The sequence below is a fragment of the Homo sapiens genome, chromosome 15 (assembly GCF_000001405.40).
Source record: "Homo sapiens chromosome 15, GRCh38.p14 Primary Assembly".
NCBI lineage: Eukaryota > Metazoa > Chordata > Mammalia > Primates > Hominidae > Homo > Homo sapiens.
This window is the reverse complement of record NC_000015.10, coordinates 83,122,645-83,140,609: the sequence shown is the minus strand read 5'-3', so window position 1 is coordinate 83,140,609 and position 17,965 is coordinate 83,122,645. Positions and strand designations below refer to the sequence as shown.

Below are 17,965 nucleotides of genomic sequence, written 5' to 3'. Positions count from 1 at the left end.
CTCAGGAGGCTGAGGCAGGAGAATCACTTGAACCGGGGAGGTGGAGGTTGCAGTGAGCTCACATCACGCCACTGTACTCCAGCCTAGGTGACAGAGCGAGACTCTGTCTCAAAAAAAAAAAAAAAAAACTTTCTTTGGTTGACTAACAATTTTTCATTGTTCTAATGGGTGTCTTCCTCCTTCACAAGGGAGGAAGATCCTCCAAAGTATCTGTGAGTATAATCTTATAACTGGTGTTTTTGTTAAGAAATAATTAGGAGTCACCAGGCACTCCATTTTTTAAGTTCACAAATTTCAAACTTTTTTTTTAAAGATTTACTTCCTCATTTTAATAGGGACAGAAGGATAAAAAGTATATTTCTGCCATCTTAGGGGGATGGAAGTTTTGGTAACTCTCTCTCCTTTGAAGGTCCTGGAATCGTTTATTATAATATATACCATTTAGTATACATGTTGGGCTGTCTGAATGAGAACATACCCATCAGTGTGCACATGTGCTTACAAACATGTTCATTCATTTAGTGAAATTAAGAGTGGAAGCAGGCTGTTTTCAGAAAAAATATTTGAGGGCTGAGTTCCCTCTTTCATTCATCCCATGAGGGTATTACTAGGGGGTTTAATATATTTGGGTTAATGATGAGGGGGAAAAAATAGCATCCTTTTGGGGAAATAGAACCAGACACAATTTAAAGTGGGACCCAAATAGAAACATAATTCTTTTATGAAACAAATGTTTTATTTTCTGTTTGTCACACGGATGCCATCTAAATTTTAAAAGAAATCTAGGCTTCCTCTTATTCTTTATGTTTTTTTTAAAAGCAAGAAGTCAGAGACTTTGTACATCATGATTAACTTCTACATTTGTTTGAGCTATGTGTCACAAGTAATTAAGTTATAAATATTCTGAAGATTAATTGGTGCACACTCTAAGTGCTTTTTAAATTTTACACAGCTTACCTTTCTTTCTGAAGAATGTCCTCACAAAGATAGATTATATCAATTTCTCCACTGATGATGTATTCCAGCAATAAACATAGTCCTAGAATTGTAGAATGTGCACTGCTGCACTCTGTCCTAACAGACAGTAGACAAGGTTTATAATTTTTTTCTATGGGACACTAAAAATACCCTAGGATTTCCTTTAACTTTTTGCACTGACAGGTCTAAAGCAAAGCCACAGAAGCTGCTCTTGCTCAGTAAGTATTGTTAATGCTGCAGTGCATATTAAAATTTCAGAAAACCCAATTATGTACTATCTAGGTGTGGATAGCTCTCATTGTTAGTATCCTAAATCATCTAAAGGCTTGTTTTCTTTCTTTTTTTTTTTTTTACAGACCTAACTACCATAATGAATGCTGCATATTAAGAGAAACCACAAGAAGGTTATATGTTTGGTTGTCTAATATTCTTGGATTTGATATGAACCAACACATAGTCCTTGTTGTCATTGACAGAACCCCAGTTTGTATGTACATTATTCATATTCCTCTCTGTTGTGTTTCGGGGGGAAAAGACATTTTAGCCTTTTTTAAAAGTTACTGATTTAATTTCATGTTATTTGGTTGCATGAAGTTGCCCTTAACCACTAAGGATTATCAAGATTTTTGCGCAGACTTATACATGTCTAGGATCCTTTTATCAAGGCAGTTATGATCATCGTTTTCCTGCCTTGACCCCACCATCATCAAACACTCAGTTAAATATAAATTAACATTTTTTAGATGACCACTCAACATAATGCTTAAGAATGGAATTTCCTCTCTGTGACAGAACCCAGGAATTAATTCCTAAATACATAACGTTGGTATATTGAAGACGAAATTAAAATTGTCCTTCAGTTTTGAGGCCATGTGTAAAGTTTAACCATATTGTAAAATATCTATTCCGTATTAGAAATAGCTAGTTGACAGCTTATACTTCTCAAAATTCATATTGTTATGTACACAAACTAAGTTTCTATATGTGAAGTTAGTGAGTCTTTTTGTGTTACTCCAAAATAAAGGCAATGATTTATTTTTTTCCCAGTGCCAATACAATTTTGAGCTAAGCACTCAAGGTGGATACTTTACATTTTAAAGCTGGAATCAGCAACAGCCCTATGGGAAACCAGACAAAGCATTGACTTTTAAATGTAGACTTTTAAAATAAACTGTTTTCTTTTGGAACTACAATTAGAATAGTTAATATTCATCCTTAAACCATTATTATGTGTACATTATTGTTGCTATTGTGATAATAGAGAATTTTATTTATTTTTATGCCAGCTTATATTGTGAGAACACATTTAGTCAGTTTGGGTTTTATCAATCCTGTTAATGCTTGTCCTTGGAACATCTTTCGCGTATTCACGGTTTGTAGTTGAAAAGTTTACTGTAAAAAAATCAAAAACAAAAAAATGTATTGTTTTTACAGAATAAATTTATTGGAATGTGTACTGGGAGTAAGATTTGAGGTTGTAAGCAAACTAAGTTAGTGTAATTTGGCTTCATATATGTAACGTGAGGTATTAATGTAATTCATATATTAAAGCAAAAATTGTTCACAGCAAGCTGACAATAGAATCAAGTGCAGGTGAGGGTTTTTCTTTTTCTTTCTTTTTTTTTTTTTAAACACTCTCTGGGTTTTAGATTATTTGAAAACACTGTAGGGGATGATGGGGAGATGACTACATGATTTGCTTACACTTACATATTTACCAGCCCAGTGGACCCTAGATTTTGTAATTTGATATTATCCATGCATTGATTTGTATCCCATTTTCTTTTGGTTTTCTTGATGAGAGCTAATAAAAACATGAGAAAATGTGAGCAGACCTAAAAGCCTAGGGCCGTTAATAATGATGATGGTGATGATGGCAGCTAAGGGTATGAAAGCACCAGTCCATTTATCATTCCAGGGCACAGTGAGGAGGTGGCTGTTTGTATTTTTGGTGTGTTTCTTTCATTTAGTGAATACTGATTTTCTCTAGTATACTCAACATACAATCCCAAACATGAAAAGTTCATAAAAAGATAGTAGGGATGTCGATCTAATACTTCTTCCTTAAAAGGTCCTTTTTAATTTTGAATATTTGAATGTATTTTTTAATTAATGAAATTTAATTCATCAAAAGACCTCTTCATTGCTCACACTGAAACATAAGGGGAATGTAGATGGCATTTTGAATTGGAATATACAACTCACAAATTTTCTTTAAAAGCGTTTTATGTGTATATATGAAATGTTTCAAATTTAATAAGATTTGTCTTTATAAGAGGCCAAAAATAATTTTATTAAAAATATACACAGAAATACAATAGAAATATTTCCAGCCACCAATAAAACAAATGTTCATTAAGGATAGAGATAAAGTTACTGATCCCTATTTAGCTGTTTAAATTCACACAAAAAAATTTAGTAAAAGTAATTTTCTTGAAACAGCAGCAAATAATAAACTTTCCTTGGGAAAACATTTTTCAAACAACATTTAAAAATATTCTGATGATTTGCCTTTTATATTGAGTTTAATAATGAAGCATATTCATCTTATTTGCAAAAGTTACTCCTCCAGTCTGCATTCACTGTTTTGAATTTTTTAATATGCACAGGCCATATTCTCTTTTGAATAGTTTCATTTCATGCTCACTACTGTTGGCACTAAATTGTAATTTTTTACACTTATAATTATTTTATATGTCAAACAATATTGAGATGGATGATCAAGTTTATTCACAAATGATTTTGAATATATTTCTTTAAACAAACTGTTTCTCAAGAATTTCCATTTTCCTTCAAAAAAAATTTACACAATACCATATAGCTCACACATACAGTGCAGAGCAAGAATGTACATATTCTTAAGTACTCACGTATGAGAAGAGAGTGAAATGGGACAAAATATCAGTACCAGTATAACAAAAGTTAGTAATTTAGAAAGGAGGAACATGAAGTAATATTTTTATTCCACTTTTTCTTCTGCCTTTGTTTTTATGAAGAACTCTGGTTTGTAGATACAACGATAGGCCAAGAGCTGAGGAAGAACTCCATATGCTATGTTTAATGCTAAAAAAAGGATTTTTGCTTCTTCAGGGACTCTGTAGACATAAGCAGTTCTAGCATGAAGAGATGCACCAATGTGAGAAAACTGAGCCTGTTGCATTTAAAAAAAAAAAATTGAGTAAGCATGAAACGTGTTCAGTTGGATGCATGATGAGTTCTGAATGGTTCATTCAGGCTACGTTTCTGTGCCCTCAAAACCAGTCTCACCTGCAGGCAAAATACCTTCAAACAATCCAGAGTCTTTAATGTCAGAGTCTTTCATTAAATTTAGTCCTTGATTAAATTTAGGGCCATTCTTGATATGACTGTTCAAATAAAGTAGATATTATTTAGTGTAGTTTTATCATGCCAGTTGTGTTTTTTAACCATCAAGTGCCCCTTACCGAACATTAGTGGCTCAATCTAATAGAAAAATCTGAATAAAATCTCAAATTTTTTTCTGATTTGCGTTCTGGAGATCCTGCATACAGACTCAGTTGTGGTTCACAAATTGCGTTCCAATAAAAATGAAGAAAGCGCAGAGTTTTAAAAAACAAATATTTTTAGCATAAACTATTGAAAGGGAAGCACTGGGGGGACCTCAGCTTCATTTATCAGTCTTTCATCTACTCCTTGCAGCAAGAGCTCATACCCTTTCCCTATGTGTTTTTTGTTTATTCATTTATTCATGTATTTGTTTTTTCTGCAGCTTTTAAAATATTAAGGGTTGTTTGTAAGATAAGGTTGTTACCAACTTGGGTGGAGGTAGGAGTACGGTTGCTCTTTGTAAAATGGCAAATGTACATGCAGGCAACCTTTTTAAATCAAATTATAATTTATTTAGAAGTACGACATGTCAGCATTATCCGCATTTGCAAAATGGCCTCCCTCTCTACTTATATACTTATTCAGAAAACACATTCAGAATGTGCCAATTGGTCTTTTTTGATATTTTTCGCAAGCACAGAGGAAAACCGTATTGGAAAGGGTAAAACAGACCACAGCAGGATTAAAAGCTCCTGTCAGAAAATTTCCTCAGAAGGCTTGTATCATTACAAAATGTACCCCTGGAGTCTGCATTTTCATATCTTGCTGAAATTCAAGATACACATGAATAAAGGATTGGGAATCTAAATGTAATAAGTAGTAAATTATCAGTTCATCAGGATCAAAGAGACAAAAGACTGCACTATAGAGAAGGCATAGAAGTAACAAGAATGAAGAACTAGATAATTTGCTTTAAATACATATAAGTTATTTTACATTTCTTCCATATGAAACCAATTTATTCTGCTGAGTGATTTCACAGATAAAGGTGTTACTTACTTGACTTCACCATGACAAGAAAAGGACAAGTTTTTTTAAGCAGCATCTTTATGAATTTTTTATCAGTGGCAGATATTTTAATGGGCTGCATTTTTACAAATTCCTGATATATTCTGGAGACCTGTGGTACATTTTTGCTACTCTGGAGATATAAATTAAATTAGCATGATGTATTGCCAAGGACCAGCACGTGGATTGTCTACATTGTGATCCATGAGGCACTGAGAGGACTCGGCCCTCAGATACAACTCCCCTGGGTAGATGCCCAGGCAGAACCCAGCAAATGTATATGCATCTCTGGGCTCTGAGGACAAAATGCCTTGAGAGTAAAGGGCACTTTCAGGGCTGCCCTGAGGAGGTGCTTTCTGGACATTCTAGGAACTCTGAGCAGGAGCATGGCTCCCATACTGTTTTTCCTTAGGGCCTGTTTTGAATAATAGTGTTTTTCTGAATATATAACCAAGCATTTTCTCTGGACTGGAAGCCACATTTGATCCCTGGTTCTCAGAAATCTGGGTTTGGTGGTTCTGTCTTTATAGATACTTGTACACATCACAAAATCACCAAATTTGGGGAAATGCCAACCATACTTTGAGAGAATAAATATGAGCAGTTGTGCCTACTTGCATAGGGGAGCCTGTGTAAAAAGTCAGTGATTCCGTAGGCTCTTTTCCTGCACTAACCAGTGCAGTTAATACCTCACTTTCATGAACAGCAAACTCATGGCAACATTAAGTGAATCATGGCCGGGCGCAGTGGCTCACGCCTGTAATCCCAGTACTTTGGGAGGCCAAGGCGGGTGGATCACCTGAGGTCAGGAGTTCAAGACGAGCCTGGCCAACATAGTGAAACCCCATCTCTACTAAAAAATACAAAAAATTAGCCGGGCGTGGTGGCAGACGCCTGTAATCTCAGCTGCTCGGGAGGCTGAGGCAGGAGAATTGCTTGAACCCGGGGAGTGGAGGTTGCAGTGAGCCAAGATTGTGCCACTGCACTCCAGCCTGGGTGACAGAGTGAGACTCTGTCTTTAAAAAAAAAAAAAGATTCATGTCCTTAGATTAGATTGTAAGCCCACTGGGCAGGTACTGTGTCTAATGTTTTGTGTGGCACCTGTCACATTGTTAGAGCTCAATAAACGTTCAACAACAATGGACTTGTGACTGTCAAAATACAAAAAGGGTCTACAAAGCATTTCTCTAGTTTTGTATGTATTTTAGTAGGCCTCTTTATTCAGAATTATTAAACAAGGCACAAAAATTTTAACATTCATAATCAAAAGAGGCATTTGTATGTGAGAGAAGAACTCTAAGGCCAGTGGTGTGCAGCTCCCAGTACTGCTCATAGTCCTAATGGATGTACTTATGGTGGCCACACTTCCAGCTGAGTGAGCACCTGACCATAGCTTTCTCCTAAGGCATAGGATGTTAAGTGTTCAGGGTTCTGAAGTTCAGAAAAACAGTCTCACCTGAGGAGGTTTCTCTTCCCAAGCACATAGCTAATAAAGGGCTGCAGGTTTTCTCCTGGGTGATGTTCCCAGCAGCACAAGGCCTCTCATGGCAGGACCTGAAGAGCTCAGCCTGAGCCTGTGCTGGGGTCAGGTGGCTCAGTGAACTCAATGCTGCTGAATTAACAGGAGGCCCAGGATTACAGATATGAGTTGTTGATCCTAGAAATTTCTCCAGAATTTAGCAATGTGAGGTTGAGTCCCTAATAATTTTTCTTCCACTTCATTCTAAATCATTTTCACCTTACAGAAATAATTAAGAGATATACTCTGATTTTTTTTTAAGAATGGATGATTGGAATGGCAAATGAGACAATAAGGTGAACAAAGGTTAAATTTTAAGAGCTGTTTTCTTACATGTATAGAGACAATCTGTAAAGGATAACTAAAAAAGTTAATCGTGGTTCCACAAGGAGGAACTGAAAGAGTGTTATATGTCCATGTGAATGTTATAGGCAGAAAACTTAGGTGACCATTGGGATGATAGCCAGGGTCTTTTGCTAATACAGTATAAATAGCTAATCTAGAACTGTGTTATCTTTTCTTAGAGTTTTCTGAGCAACATAGTTCATTGGTTCAGAACACTGACTTTGGAACTAGACATCCAGAGTCAAATCACAGCTCCACCACAAACCAGCCGTATGGCCTCGGGTGAGGTGTGGAACCCACCTCATAGGTTGTTATGAGGGTTCAGTGAGGTGATGTTTGTGACATGCTTAGACAGTGTCAAGCACTTGGGGCTATTCTGTAGACACAAGTACAAAACTGAAATACCCATTCATGATCTGGTGCTCGACTGTAGAAAATCTGGGCCCTTTGTTTTTAGATTCTCTTGACCTTTTGACCTTTTTACTGTGAGTGTCTCCATGAAAGGATAAGTACATAAAAGATGTTAAATCAGTATAATTTAATACTAAATAAAGATGTTTAGCAATGAATCACACCAGAAGCAAATGAAGAAAACAAGATTTGCATTAGTATCCCAACTATCCGTGTTCTTCCTAAACTGTTACTTTCAGATTTTTCTTAACGTCTCCATGAGGGAAAAACCGTATGAAATTTACTTCCAGGCTGAGCGTGGTGGCTCATACCTATAATCCCAGCACTTTGGGATGCCAAGGCGGGAGGGTCACTTGAGTCCAGGAGTTTGAGACCAGCCTGGGCAACATAGCAAGACCCTGTCTCAAGTTAAAAAAAAAATGATAAATTTACTTCAGTAAACTCTTCACAACCAAATTATTCACACGTAAGTTTCCATATCTCTTTGTGAGAAAAAGACATGACATAGCACCTACATAGCCAGGGAGTTAGAGAGTCTGAGGGCAGCACCTGACTGAAGTAACTGAACCTCCTTCGCTGGCTGTGGGATGGCAGGCTCCTTACCAAGCCCATGGTGAGTCTGTCCCAAAGCTTTCACCCAGTTTCTTTGTTTTCTTGGTAATTATATACAATACACTTAATTTAATTAGTTTGTCTTCAGGTTAATCTTCGGAACAACATAAGGCATATCTCCAAATTCTTACTGGGAATCTTCTACCAGTAATAGTAGCAACAAAGGGTTACATAGCTGTTATGTGCCAGACACTGTTTTAAGCCCTTTACATGTATTACCTCATCCAACCCTAACAGCAATTCCATGAGAAAGCTACTGTTATTATCCTCACTTTACAGAAGAGGAAACTGAGGATCAGAGAGGTAAAGTAGCCAAGGTCATTGTGCTCATCAGCAACAGGCTAGAATCTGAACCAGTTCACCTCCAGAGCTTATGTTCCTAACTATATGAACTCTACTGGCTTTGGCTTTTTTTCATTTTCATTGATATTTTAGCAGAGAAAATGCTTCAATTGATAGGAAATGCTAATAAGTGGATCTAAGCAGCCTATAATGCCTTTCAGATTACACTTGCAGCTTTAATCCTATGGTTAGCATTTTATATGAAAAGATACCTGGGTTATGAGTAAGTCCCCAGTGGAACTCTTTGGTCTAAAATGTGTCCTGGTTTCATTTTATTCAATCTTCTTTTACTCTTTCCTTGATCTTTTGATTTCTGAAGGCAGCAGATTTGGCAGACTCCTACATGGTCTGAAATCAAGGCCCCAATAACTACTCACTCTTTTTTCTTTCTTTTTTTTGAGACAGTCTTGCTCTGTCACCCAGGCTGCAGTGTAGTGGGCGTGATCTTGGCACACTGCAGCCTCTGCCTCCCAGGTTCAAGCGATTCTCCTGCCTCAGCCTCCCAAGTAGCTGGGATTATAGATGCCCACCACCACACCCAGCTAATTTTTTGTATTTTTAGTAGAGACGGGGTTTCGTCATGTTGGCCAGGCTGGTCTCAAACTCCTGACCTCAGGTGATCCACCTGCCTGGTCCTCCCAAAGTGCTAGGGTTACATGTGTGAGCCACTGCGCCTGGCCACTACTCAATATTTCTTCCATTGGCCTATACTGATCTAGAACTTTTCAAAGGTGGTTTTTTTTTCCCTTACTAAGTTGCATAGATTCTTGAGAGTTTACTAGATGTTTCAGTAAAAGTAAGTTTTAGTAAAGTTAGTGGGATCATGAATGCATAAGGTTTCTAAATAAGAATGGCAATTTTAGCAAGCAAAGATGCTGATTAAAGTTACAGAAAAATGCCTATTTTTGTTTTGTTTTGTTTTTTTGTGGTGGTGGGAGAGACAGGGTCTCTCTCTGTCACCTGGGCTGGAGAGTGCAGTGACACAGTCTCGGCTCACTGCAACCTCTGCCTCCTGGTTCAAGTGATCCTCCCACCTCAGCCTTCCTAGTAGCTGGGACTGCAGGCATATGCCATCACGCCAGCCTAATTTTTGTATTTTTTGTAGAGATGGGGTTTTACCATGTTGCCCAGGCTGGTTTCAAACTCCTGACTTCAAGCAGTCCACCCACCTCGGGCTCCCAAAGTGCTGGGATTACAGGTGTGAGCCACCGTGCCTTGCTGGAGAGTGCTTTCTGTGATGAATGTGTCAGATACTCCCATAAGATGAGACTCCATTTCATAAGCGAGTATTTGCTAAGTACAAAACAAATAACGTAATTCAGTATTCTGGTCATATCTATTGTTTTGTTGCGGCATGGCTTCTAACTTTTCCTTAGCCTACACACTATAAGTGGGTAGATATTAAAGCTCAGCCAAGAGCTGTGGGAATCAGACCCATAATTCTTTACTCAGTCTGTCTTCACCTGCTGGGCTGGGAGAAACATCCTTCTGACATTTACAGGATCTGGTCCTTAGCCTTAGGCTCTGGATCTGGGCATTCACCATCAAGAGAGGGGCTTCAGGCTGCCTTATCAACTGGGCAGTGATGGATAAGCCCCAGGATGCCTGACGTCTGACATGAATGAGGTAATGCCCCTGCGGCTGCCAGCTGCTCTGTAGTCCACACTGCCCTTCTCAGAACCACTTGGCTGGAGTAATAAGTGCCCACCTGCAAGCTTAGCTTCACCAACAGATTAGGGTTTGTCTTATTGCTACAGGCTTACCACACCCATTTTCCTCTAAGCTATGACCTTCCTAAGCTTCCTGACTGTTGACCCTGGCCATGTGACTAGGCTTTTGCCTAGGTTTTCCTGCTGTTTCCATTTGTCTCCTGAGACTTGACCAGGTCCAACATCTGGTCTCTTTAACCAGCCTGCTGGCTGATGACACTTAGCATTCCTGCATCAGGGACTGGTACCAGGCCGACCAGGCACATGGCAGGCAGAGGAGGCCTGATTGTGCAGGCAAAGCACAATTGACACAGGTAATAGGTGTCAAACTGAACAGCTGTCAAACTGAACAGTCTAATCCTCTAAAGAAAGGGCTGGCAAGAGTGAAGTGGGTATGCGGCCATCTGTTCTGAAGGATACAGGAGAATAAGGCAGAGGAACCAGGCCAAAAAAAAAGGCAAGGCTTACTCTGCCCTCAGACCTGCTGCATATGCCCACACCTCAGTGTTTCCCTGGGTTATTCCCTGGAGAGGCTCAGCCTAATAAAGCCCCACTTGGCCCTCAGAGTCCAACTCGGAATGTCACTGCCTTCCACCCACAAGGTTCTCCAGCACCTCGTACTACATACAGTCTTTTGTGCTGTAGGACTCTGTGCCATAGTTCATTGTTTGCATGGGGTGGGTGAGATAACACAATGGAGAAGAATATGAGCTTTGGAGTCAGACAGGATTTCATAAACCTATTCTGCCATTTAATAACTGTAATCTTAGGCAAATAATTTCAGGTGGACTGAGCCTCAGCCTCCTCATCTTTAAATTGGGGTTTTTTTCCCAGAGCTATTACAAAAGATATTATTATGTGTCCATTGTGCTGTTTATTCTGAGGCAGGCAGGAAGACCACAGTCACCAGCCTCCCCTCAGTTGACCTGGTGCCAGGCCTGGACCTTGAAAATATCCCACATGATCTTTGCATAAAAAAGAATTAAAATTTTAATTGTGTTAAGCTACTCTGAGTATTTGTTACAGCAGCAGAGCACATAGCCTATCCTTAGACAAATAGGTAAGTAAAACTTTTAACGTGGTTTGCCTGGCATGAAGTAAGGTAATGAGAGCTCAGACTAGTGTAGGGGCAGCGGAGCTGGAAAAAAAAAATGGGTTGGAGAATCACTGGAGTAAAACTAACTGGACCTGGTTGGGTGTGGTGGCTCACACCTGTAATCCTACCACTTTGGGAGGCTGAGGCAGGAGGATTACTTGAAGCAGGCATTTGAGAATAAGCTGGGCAACAAAATAAGATCCCATCTCTTTAAAAAATTTAAAAATTAGCTGTGTGCGGTGGTGTATGTCTGTAGTCCCAGCTACTCTGGAGACAGAGGCAGGAGGATTGCTTGAGCCTAGGAGTCCGAGGCTGCGGTGAGCTATGACTGTGCCATCACACTCCAGCCTGGGAGATGGAGCAAGACCCTGTCTCTTTAAAAGAAAAAAAAAAGGACTTAGTGGTGGTCTAGATGTAGAGGATGAGGAGTGTAAATAATTACTCCAAGTTTCTGGCTTGAGTTGCTGGATGCAATTGGACTATTTAAACAGATAATGAAAAAATGGAAGAGAGGTTGTGGGGAGGATCAGGTCCTATTTTATATATTAAATCTGAGGTGCTAGTGAGGCATGCAAGTAAAAAGACTGAGTTTGGAATGAAATACAGGAGTCTGGGAACGGTGTGGGCCGAAGGTAGAAAACTGGAAGTTATCAGCTTATAGTTGGTATTGAAAGATACAAAGATAAAGACCTAAAATACAGAAATAAACCCCAAGGACTGAGGAATCAGGTATTTAGAGGTCTGCAAAGGAAAAACAACCAGCAAAGAGCAATAAATGTTAGTTCTCTTCCTTCTTAAGCCCCTCAAGGAAAGGACAGGAACCATTACTTCTGGATGCTACATCAACTTTTTCGATACTACTATGCTAATTTTATAATTAAGAATTACCTCAAACTGAAAGGATTTAATGCATTGACCCCTTAAATACTATATTTTTCAACCGTGTGAATTCTAGTATGTCTTACGATCATGATTATTATACCATGCATATAATTGACTGTACAAGCCTACAGTTTCTAGATGAACCTCATTCTTATAACTGCTTGAAAAGAACAAGATGAAGCTAATGTTTTTAAATGATAAGTTCATTTGTTTTATTTCTAGTAAGAAAAATTAATTTTCTTCCTTGTTCAGAAGATTGATTTGTTTTGCTAATTATCTTGTAAAAATGTGCTTTATGTTATGTGTGAAGTTCTCCATAGATAATTTCATTTTCAGTTAAACGCAGTAAGCATTCACTGAACACCTACTCTAGGCCAAATATTTGGCAAGGTGCCAGCGGAAAAGGAATGAAATGACAGGCCCAGAACATTTTTTAAACCAGTTTCCCTGGTTCTGTATAGCATAGCGTAGTGGAATTCTGAAGTCTTAAATTTGGATGGACATTTTGAAGGTGACAGCTCTCAATCCTTTTTTAGTAGCCATGGTATTCAGAGATTGTGAAACAGTCCAATAAAACAACAATGCCACATGCTGGGTGTGTAACCTTGGGCAAATCATTTAACTTCACTGGACCACAGATAACTTCCTCATCTGTGTAACTGGATGGCACATCTACCATATAGTTATTGTGAGATTGAAATAAAATGTACTTGCAGAAATGTCTTCTGAAGAACTGCAAAACAAAAGGTGACATGTCTAATAGCTATCTCCTAGTCTAAAACACTGAGCAGAGAAGTTTTTCATATATTCAACAATTGACACCTAGACCACAAGTAAACCTTCTCAACAGAATATTCTTAGTACCTGAGCCAGACCTCCAGCATGTATCAATGTGATGTCAGGCATCCAGGAACATCCAGGAACCACTAAGCCATACAGTGCAGTCACAAAGTAAGGAACAGAATAGAACATATATGCCAGCATCTGTATTGAACAGAGAAATAACATCATCAGCAAATTGGCAGTTAACTTGGCCTGACTAAAAAGTACAAAAAAGTAAACATTTTCATCTTTGAAAATATTAATTCCTATTTCCTATATGGGACTCTTTTTTTTTTTTTACTTTTATTTTTATTTATTTATTTTTTTAGGTGGAGTCTCACTCTGTCACTCAGGCTGGAGTGCAGTGGCGCAATCTCGGCTCACTGCAACCTCCACCTCCCGGGTTCAAGCAATTCTCCTGCCTCAGCCTCCTGAGTAGCTGGGATTACAGGCATGTGCCACCATGCCCGGCTAGTTTTTTGTATTTTTTCAGTAGAGATGGGGTTTCACCATGCTGGCCAGGCTGGTTTCAAACTCCTGACCTCGTGATCAACCTGCCTCGGCCTCCCAAAGTGCTGGGATTACAGGCGTGAGCCACCGCACCCAGCTGGGACCCATTTTTTAAAAAGAAAATTAATTTTAGAAAAATCTTAGGCTTCATAACTACTTGACCTGAATTTTAGGATAAGCAGCAGGATCCTTTAGATAGGGCTCTTGAAATTGCGTATATAATCGGCAGAGCTCAGATGGGCAATCCAAAGCAATCTAAGGACAAAAATAAACTCATTATAAAAATACAATCACATCTGGTTCTTAGGTTTGCTGATAAGGCTAAATGTGCCAGGTTTAGTCACAAGCTGCTTTGCTGTTTAACAAAACGTATGCATTGTAGAGGCTCATCAATGATGGAAATATTTTGCAGATTTGTTCTAAGGAGACTAAGCAAAGGTTAATTATGGTGCAGGAAATGGAAACTAATGCCCTATTCTTGGGTATTTTTCAGATATTCAGAGTTTAAGTATCTAGGTTTGGCTAGCCAAAGCACAGCTTGCTTTAAATTATGAGTTTCACTTTTCTTGGAAATAACTAGCCCCCTATTCCCTACAGGAAGAAAAGTATATTTCTACACCAAATTCATCTTACTATGCATTGCAAGATTTGAAAATAGCACCTTCCTGTCTCCAGTGCATCATAGCGTATATGGCCTTTGGAGGCAGTAAAAGATGATTTGAAAGCAGGGTCCTCTTGCTGGAAAGTCTTTTTGGCACTTTACTAGGTCCCCTCTGAGTCACCTTCCTCCCCTCAGGCACCATTCCTCATGTCTTTGGCCATAAATGTTGTCCCACCTAGATGGCATATATGAACACAGGCCAATGACAGAGTTGGTAAAAATGGCCCCAATCCAAAAGCCCTACCCACCTTGCATGCACCCCCACACATGCACACATTTTTCTCGTGCACAGGGAAGGGGATATGGCCGTGCAAGAATACAGGTGGGGCCCACTATTTTTTGTTGTTTGAACTTTAAGAATTACAACAAACTAACCAAAGAACAGTTTCAGTGGCCCTGTGGTCTAAGCAAAGCTATGGCCTTGCCTTCTTTACTTCTCTTCCCCATGCCCCTCCTCCTGTTAGCCAGCTCTCCTCCAGAAAGTTTCTTGACATTTCACAGATAAAGATAACTCTTAAAACAGCTTCTCACCCTGAACCCAGCCTGCTGCACAGGCCCCCAGTAGCCCAAGACCCTGAAATGATAAAAGTCACCTGCATGGGCTTACACTTGCCACTCTACTGTCCAACTGTTACGCGCGCCAACAGGCTTCGAATAGAAATTGTCACTGAAGCTGAATATAATTAACAATATAATTCTAAACTTCCCAAATTCATTTCTACTAAGAAGAAATCATCAAATTGGGGCATTGTGAAGGATCACTGATCAATAAAAATCCTAACAGTAATCATTTACTATGTATAAGAGCCTCTACCAAGTGTTTGATGTACATTATTTAATCTCCAAAACAATACTGTTAAGGTAGGTAGTGTTATTTTACAGAGAGGAAAACAGAGTCCAAGAGGTTAAGTAGTTTTTCCAAGGCCACACAGCTAGTAAGTGGCCAGGATTCTAACTACAAAGCCTGTGAGTCTTTTTCCTAACCTCTGCAGTAAAATATTAATAAAGAGAAAATAGAAAACATGAAATGCCCATGTGCCCTTAATGTATTTCAGTCACATCAATACAAAGACTCCAGGCGTGAGATGAATTTACTCAACACTACTCTTACCAGTGAGACATTCCCATGACCCTACATACACGTGAATTGTTGAACTGGTACGCCTTCCTCAACCCCATTGCCCCTACTCCTGAGAACACAGGGATGCTCTGTGCCACAGTTGTGTTGCAGTCCTAGGGTGCCATCCTTACCAAAGATATTTACATTTAAATCAGAAACATCAAAAGAATAAAAAAGAGAGACTCTGATGGCTGATTTTTTAGATGCCCTAAAACGGGGAGGAAGATGCTTCTGAGTAGAGCTTGATCTAAGGACAGGAGGAGGTGACAGCAGGAGGCTGGGGTTGGGAGCAGCAGGAAGCAGGTCCAGGGCTCCAGGCTTTGATGGGAGGAATGGTTTGTTAGTTTGCTAAGAAGTCTGATGGAAAAACAAAAACATATTTCTAAGTTTTTTTCCATTTGGAAATGTGAGTAGTATCACAATGTTACGTTATTATGATCTGTTATGCTTACCAAACCTCTGAACAGGCAAAATCCAGTTGCCAGGAGGAGACACACAACCAACATTAAATCAAATGGTCTTCTCAGCAGGTCTTTCGCTTGGGCTTCTTGAATAACCTAAAATAGAGTTTGTACCTAAAGAGCAGGCCCAAAGTGCCAAAGAAGAATCTGAAATCTGAAACATTAAATGTCATGATGATGGATAAGAGAATTTTGAAGATGCACAATTTATATCATAAATCACTGGCCATGGAACTTTAGGAAAATCATTTCCTTCCTCAAGTCTCAATTTCCTTATCTGTGAAATGAAGAATTTGGGCTAAATGATCTCTCGAAGGGCTCTTGTAGCTCTATGAGTCCACTTTTTTTCTTGAAATGACATTTTAATGATAATAAATTTTAAAGGTAAACCATAAACCTGCCACACCACTATTAACCGTTGGTATACTTTTCCAGTAATACATGTAAATAGATATAGTTACATACACACAACATACATATATACACACACATATATCTACATTTTTCACAAAATTAGGAACAATTTTATATATAAAATTATTCCTGTATATAAACAATTCTGTATTTGTTCTTTTTGCTCTCAACATCTGCCTATATTATAAGCACTTTCCCACATGTTTAAAAATTTTCTCAAACTGAATACCATATGGAAACACCACACTTTAGCCATTCTCCCACTGTTGGATATTTAGGCATTTTTCACTGTTATACTTAATGTAATGATGAACAACTTTGTAAATCTTTGGTGGTATCTGTGTGATGATTTCCTGAAGATAGGGCTCTAGGAGCAGAATTATTGGGTTCCAGAATTATTAAGGTTGATAACATTGCCAAATTGCTTTGCAGAGCAATTCTGAATTTATGTTTCTGTCAGCACTGTATGACAATGCCTGCTTGGCCCTGGCTGTCACTGTGTTTTCACATTAAAAATAATGATAAGTAATTCTGCATGCCTCATGGCATACCTACTCTGTTGACACACTGACATGGAACCTTTAAAAGCAGTGGAGCTGGGACTAAGGGTGGACTGACTATTTGCTTTTTCTTTTTAACAGCCACCTCTTTCCTCAGAGGGAAGTTAGTACCAGCTGTCAGTGTGCCAGCCTGAGTTTACATAGAAGGTGTCTAAATGTTTACAAATGAAGTATTTGTCAATTAAAATGTATTTTAATGAATTATACTGAAAATCTTTTGTAAAATGAATAGTCGTATTCTGATTATCTCTAGTAATTCATATTTTCATATATCAGTTTTGCTTAAAAGATCTTGCTAAATGATCTAATACCTAGAAAAGTAAAAGAAACAGAGAGAAACTAGCTTAGAAATGAAGGCCTTAACAGAGTATCTGCCAGGCCAGTGCTGTTTCACCTTGACTACCTTGGCTGTGAATGGAAGGGAGGTGTCTCAGATGTCCTGTAGCCAGTCTCTATGGGCCTGGATCTCTGGAGTCAAGATTGTATGGCTGTGTAGACTACCTTGAGGAGCAGTATCCCTCCAGTGTCCTCTTGGGGTAGTAAATGCATAGGTGTCACAGAGGAACCCAGGTGTTCAACGTCCAGGCCATTAACAATCCTAGATGAACCACACACTATGGACTTCACTTGACACACTAATGCAGAATCTGATAGTTAGAGCCAGTGTGACCACTGGCACAGGAAGCTCCCCAAAGTATGGCCTTGCCAACAGAAGCAGATGTATTCAGACAGAAACAGACCTTCTTGCCTACATTAATTAATACGTAAGCTAATGCTACATAATCAAAACAGTCGCACTGTTTGGATGCCCCAAATGCTCCAGTCCACAGAGGCATGGTTCAATTCAGTGGCCAGTGGATGCGAAAGAACCCTATGAGTTTGAGAACAGGGTACATCAAAGCTTAATAAAATCACCTTTGAGGGGTAATTATAATTTTCTGATGGCTGATTATAGATTCTGAAACCAGCCCAGACAGGAAGACAAGTATATGGTATGCTTAAGAAAAAAGCAGGGCAAATTCGTGTTCCATACTTCCCTATTTAAAAGAGAGAAAGAGAAAGAAGTTACCAAAAGCATATCTAACACAAGTAATATTTAGGATACCTCCCCATCTCAGGTCATCTAAAATTTTGCTATGGGCCAGACAA

At 38.9% G+C, this 17,965-nt stretch overlaps 2 protein-coding genes across 18 annotated transcripts in view; one reads left to right on the top strand and one right to left on the bottom strand.

The window, feature by feature from the left end:
- HDGFL3 (HDGF like 3) overlaps positions 1–17,965 on the top strand; it is a 95,086-nt gene that overhangs the window by 67,214 nt on the left and 9,907 nt on the right. The window contains exon 6 of one of the 3 annotated variants that reach the window (NM_016073.4): positions 1,335–12,857. The exons of the other annotated variants lie outside the window; for them this stretch is intronic. Within the exon in view, the coding sequence (NP_057157.1) occupies positions 1,335–1,340 (6 nt within the window). The 3' untranslated portion in view covers positions 1,341–12,857. Of the gene's footprint in view, positions 1–1,334; positions 12,858–17,965 lie in introns of those variants that run through there. 3 annotated transcript variants of the gene reach the window in all.
- The window catches only part of TM6SF1 (transmembrane 6 superfamily member 1), a 29,764-nt gene continuing 15,000 nt past the window's right edge, over positions 3,202–17,965 (bottom strand). For 4 of the 15 annotated variants that reach the window (NM_001353882.2, NM_001353879.2, NM_001353881.2 and 1 more), the window contains exons 6-10: positions 17,732–17,853; positions 15,834–15,938; positions 13,763–13,855; positions 13,133–13,252; positions 3,202–4,129 (exon numbers count right to left, since the gene is read on the bottom strand). In NM_001353882.2, the coding sequence (NP_001340811.1) occupies positions 3,938–4,129; positions 13,133–13,252; positions 13,763–13,855; positions 15,834–15,938; positions 17,732–17,853 (632 nt within the window). In that variant the 3' untranslated portion in view covers positions 3,202–3,937. Of the gene's footprint in view, positions 4,130–9,750; positions 9,875–12,800; positions 13,002–13,132; positions 13,253–13,762; positions 13,856–15,833; positions 15,939–17,219; positions 17,854–17,965 lie in introns of those variants that run through there. The other 11 variants (NR_148561.2, NR_148560.2, NM_001353883.2 and 8 more) reach the window with 7 other exon arrangements.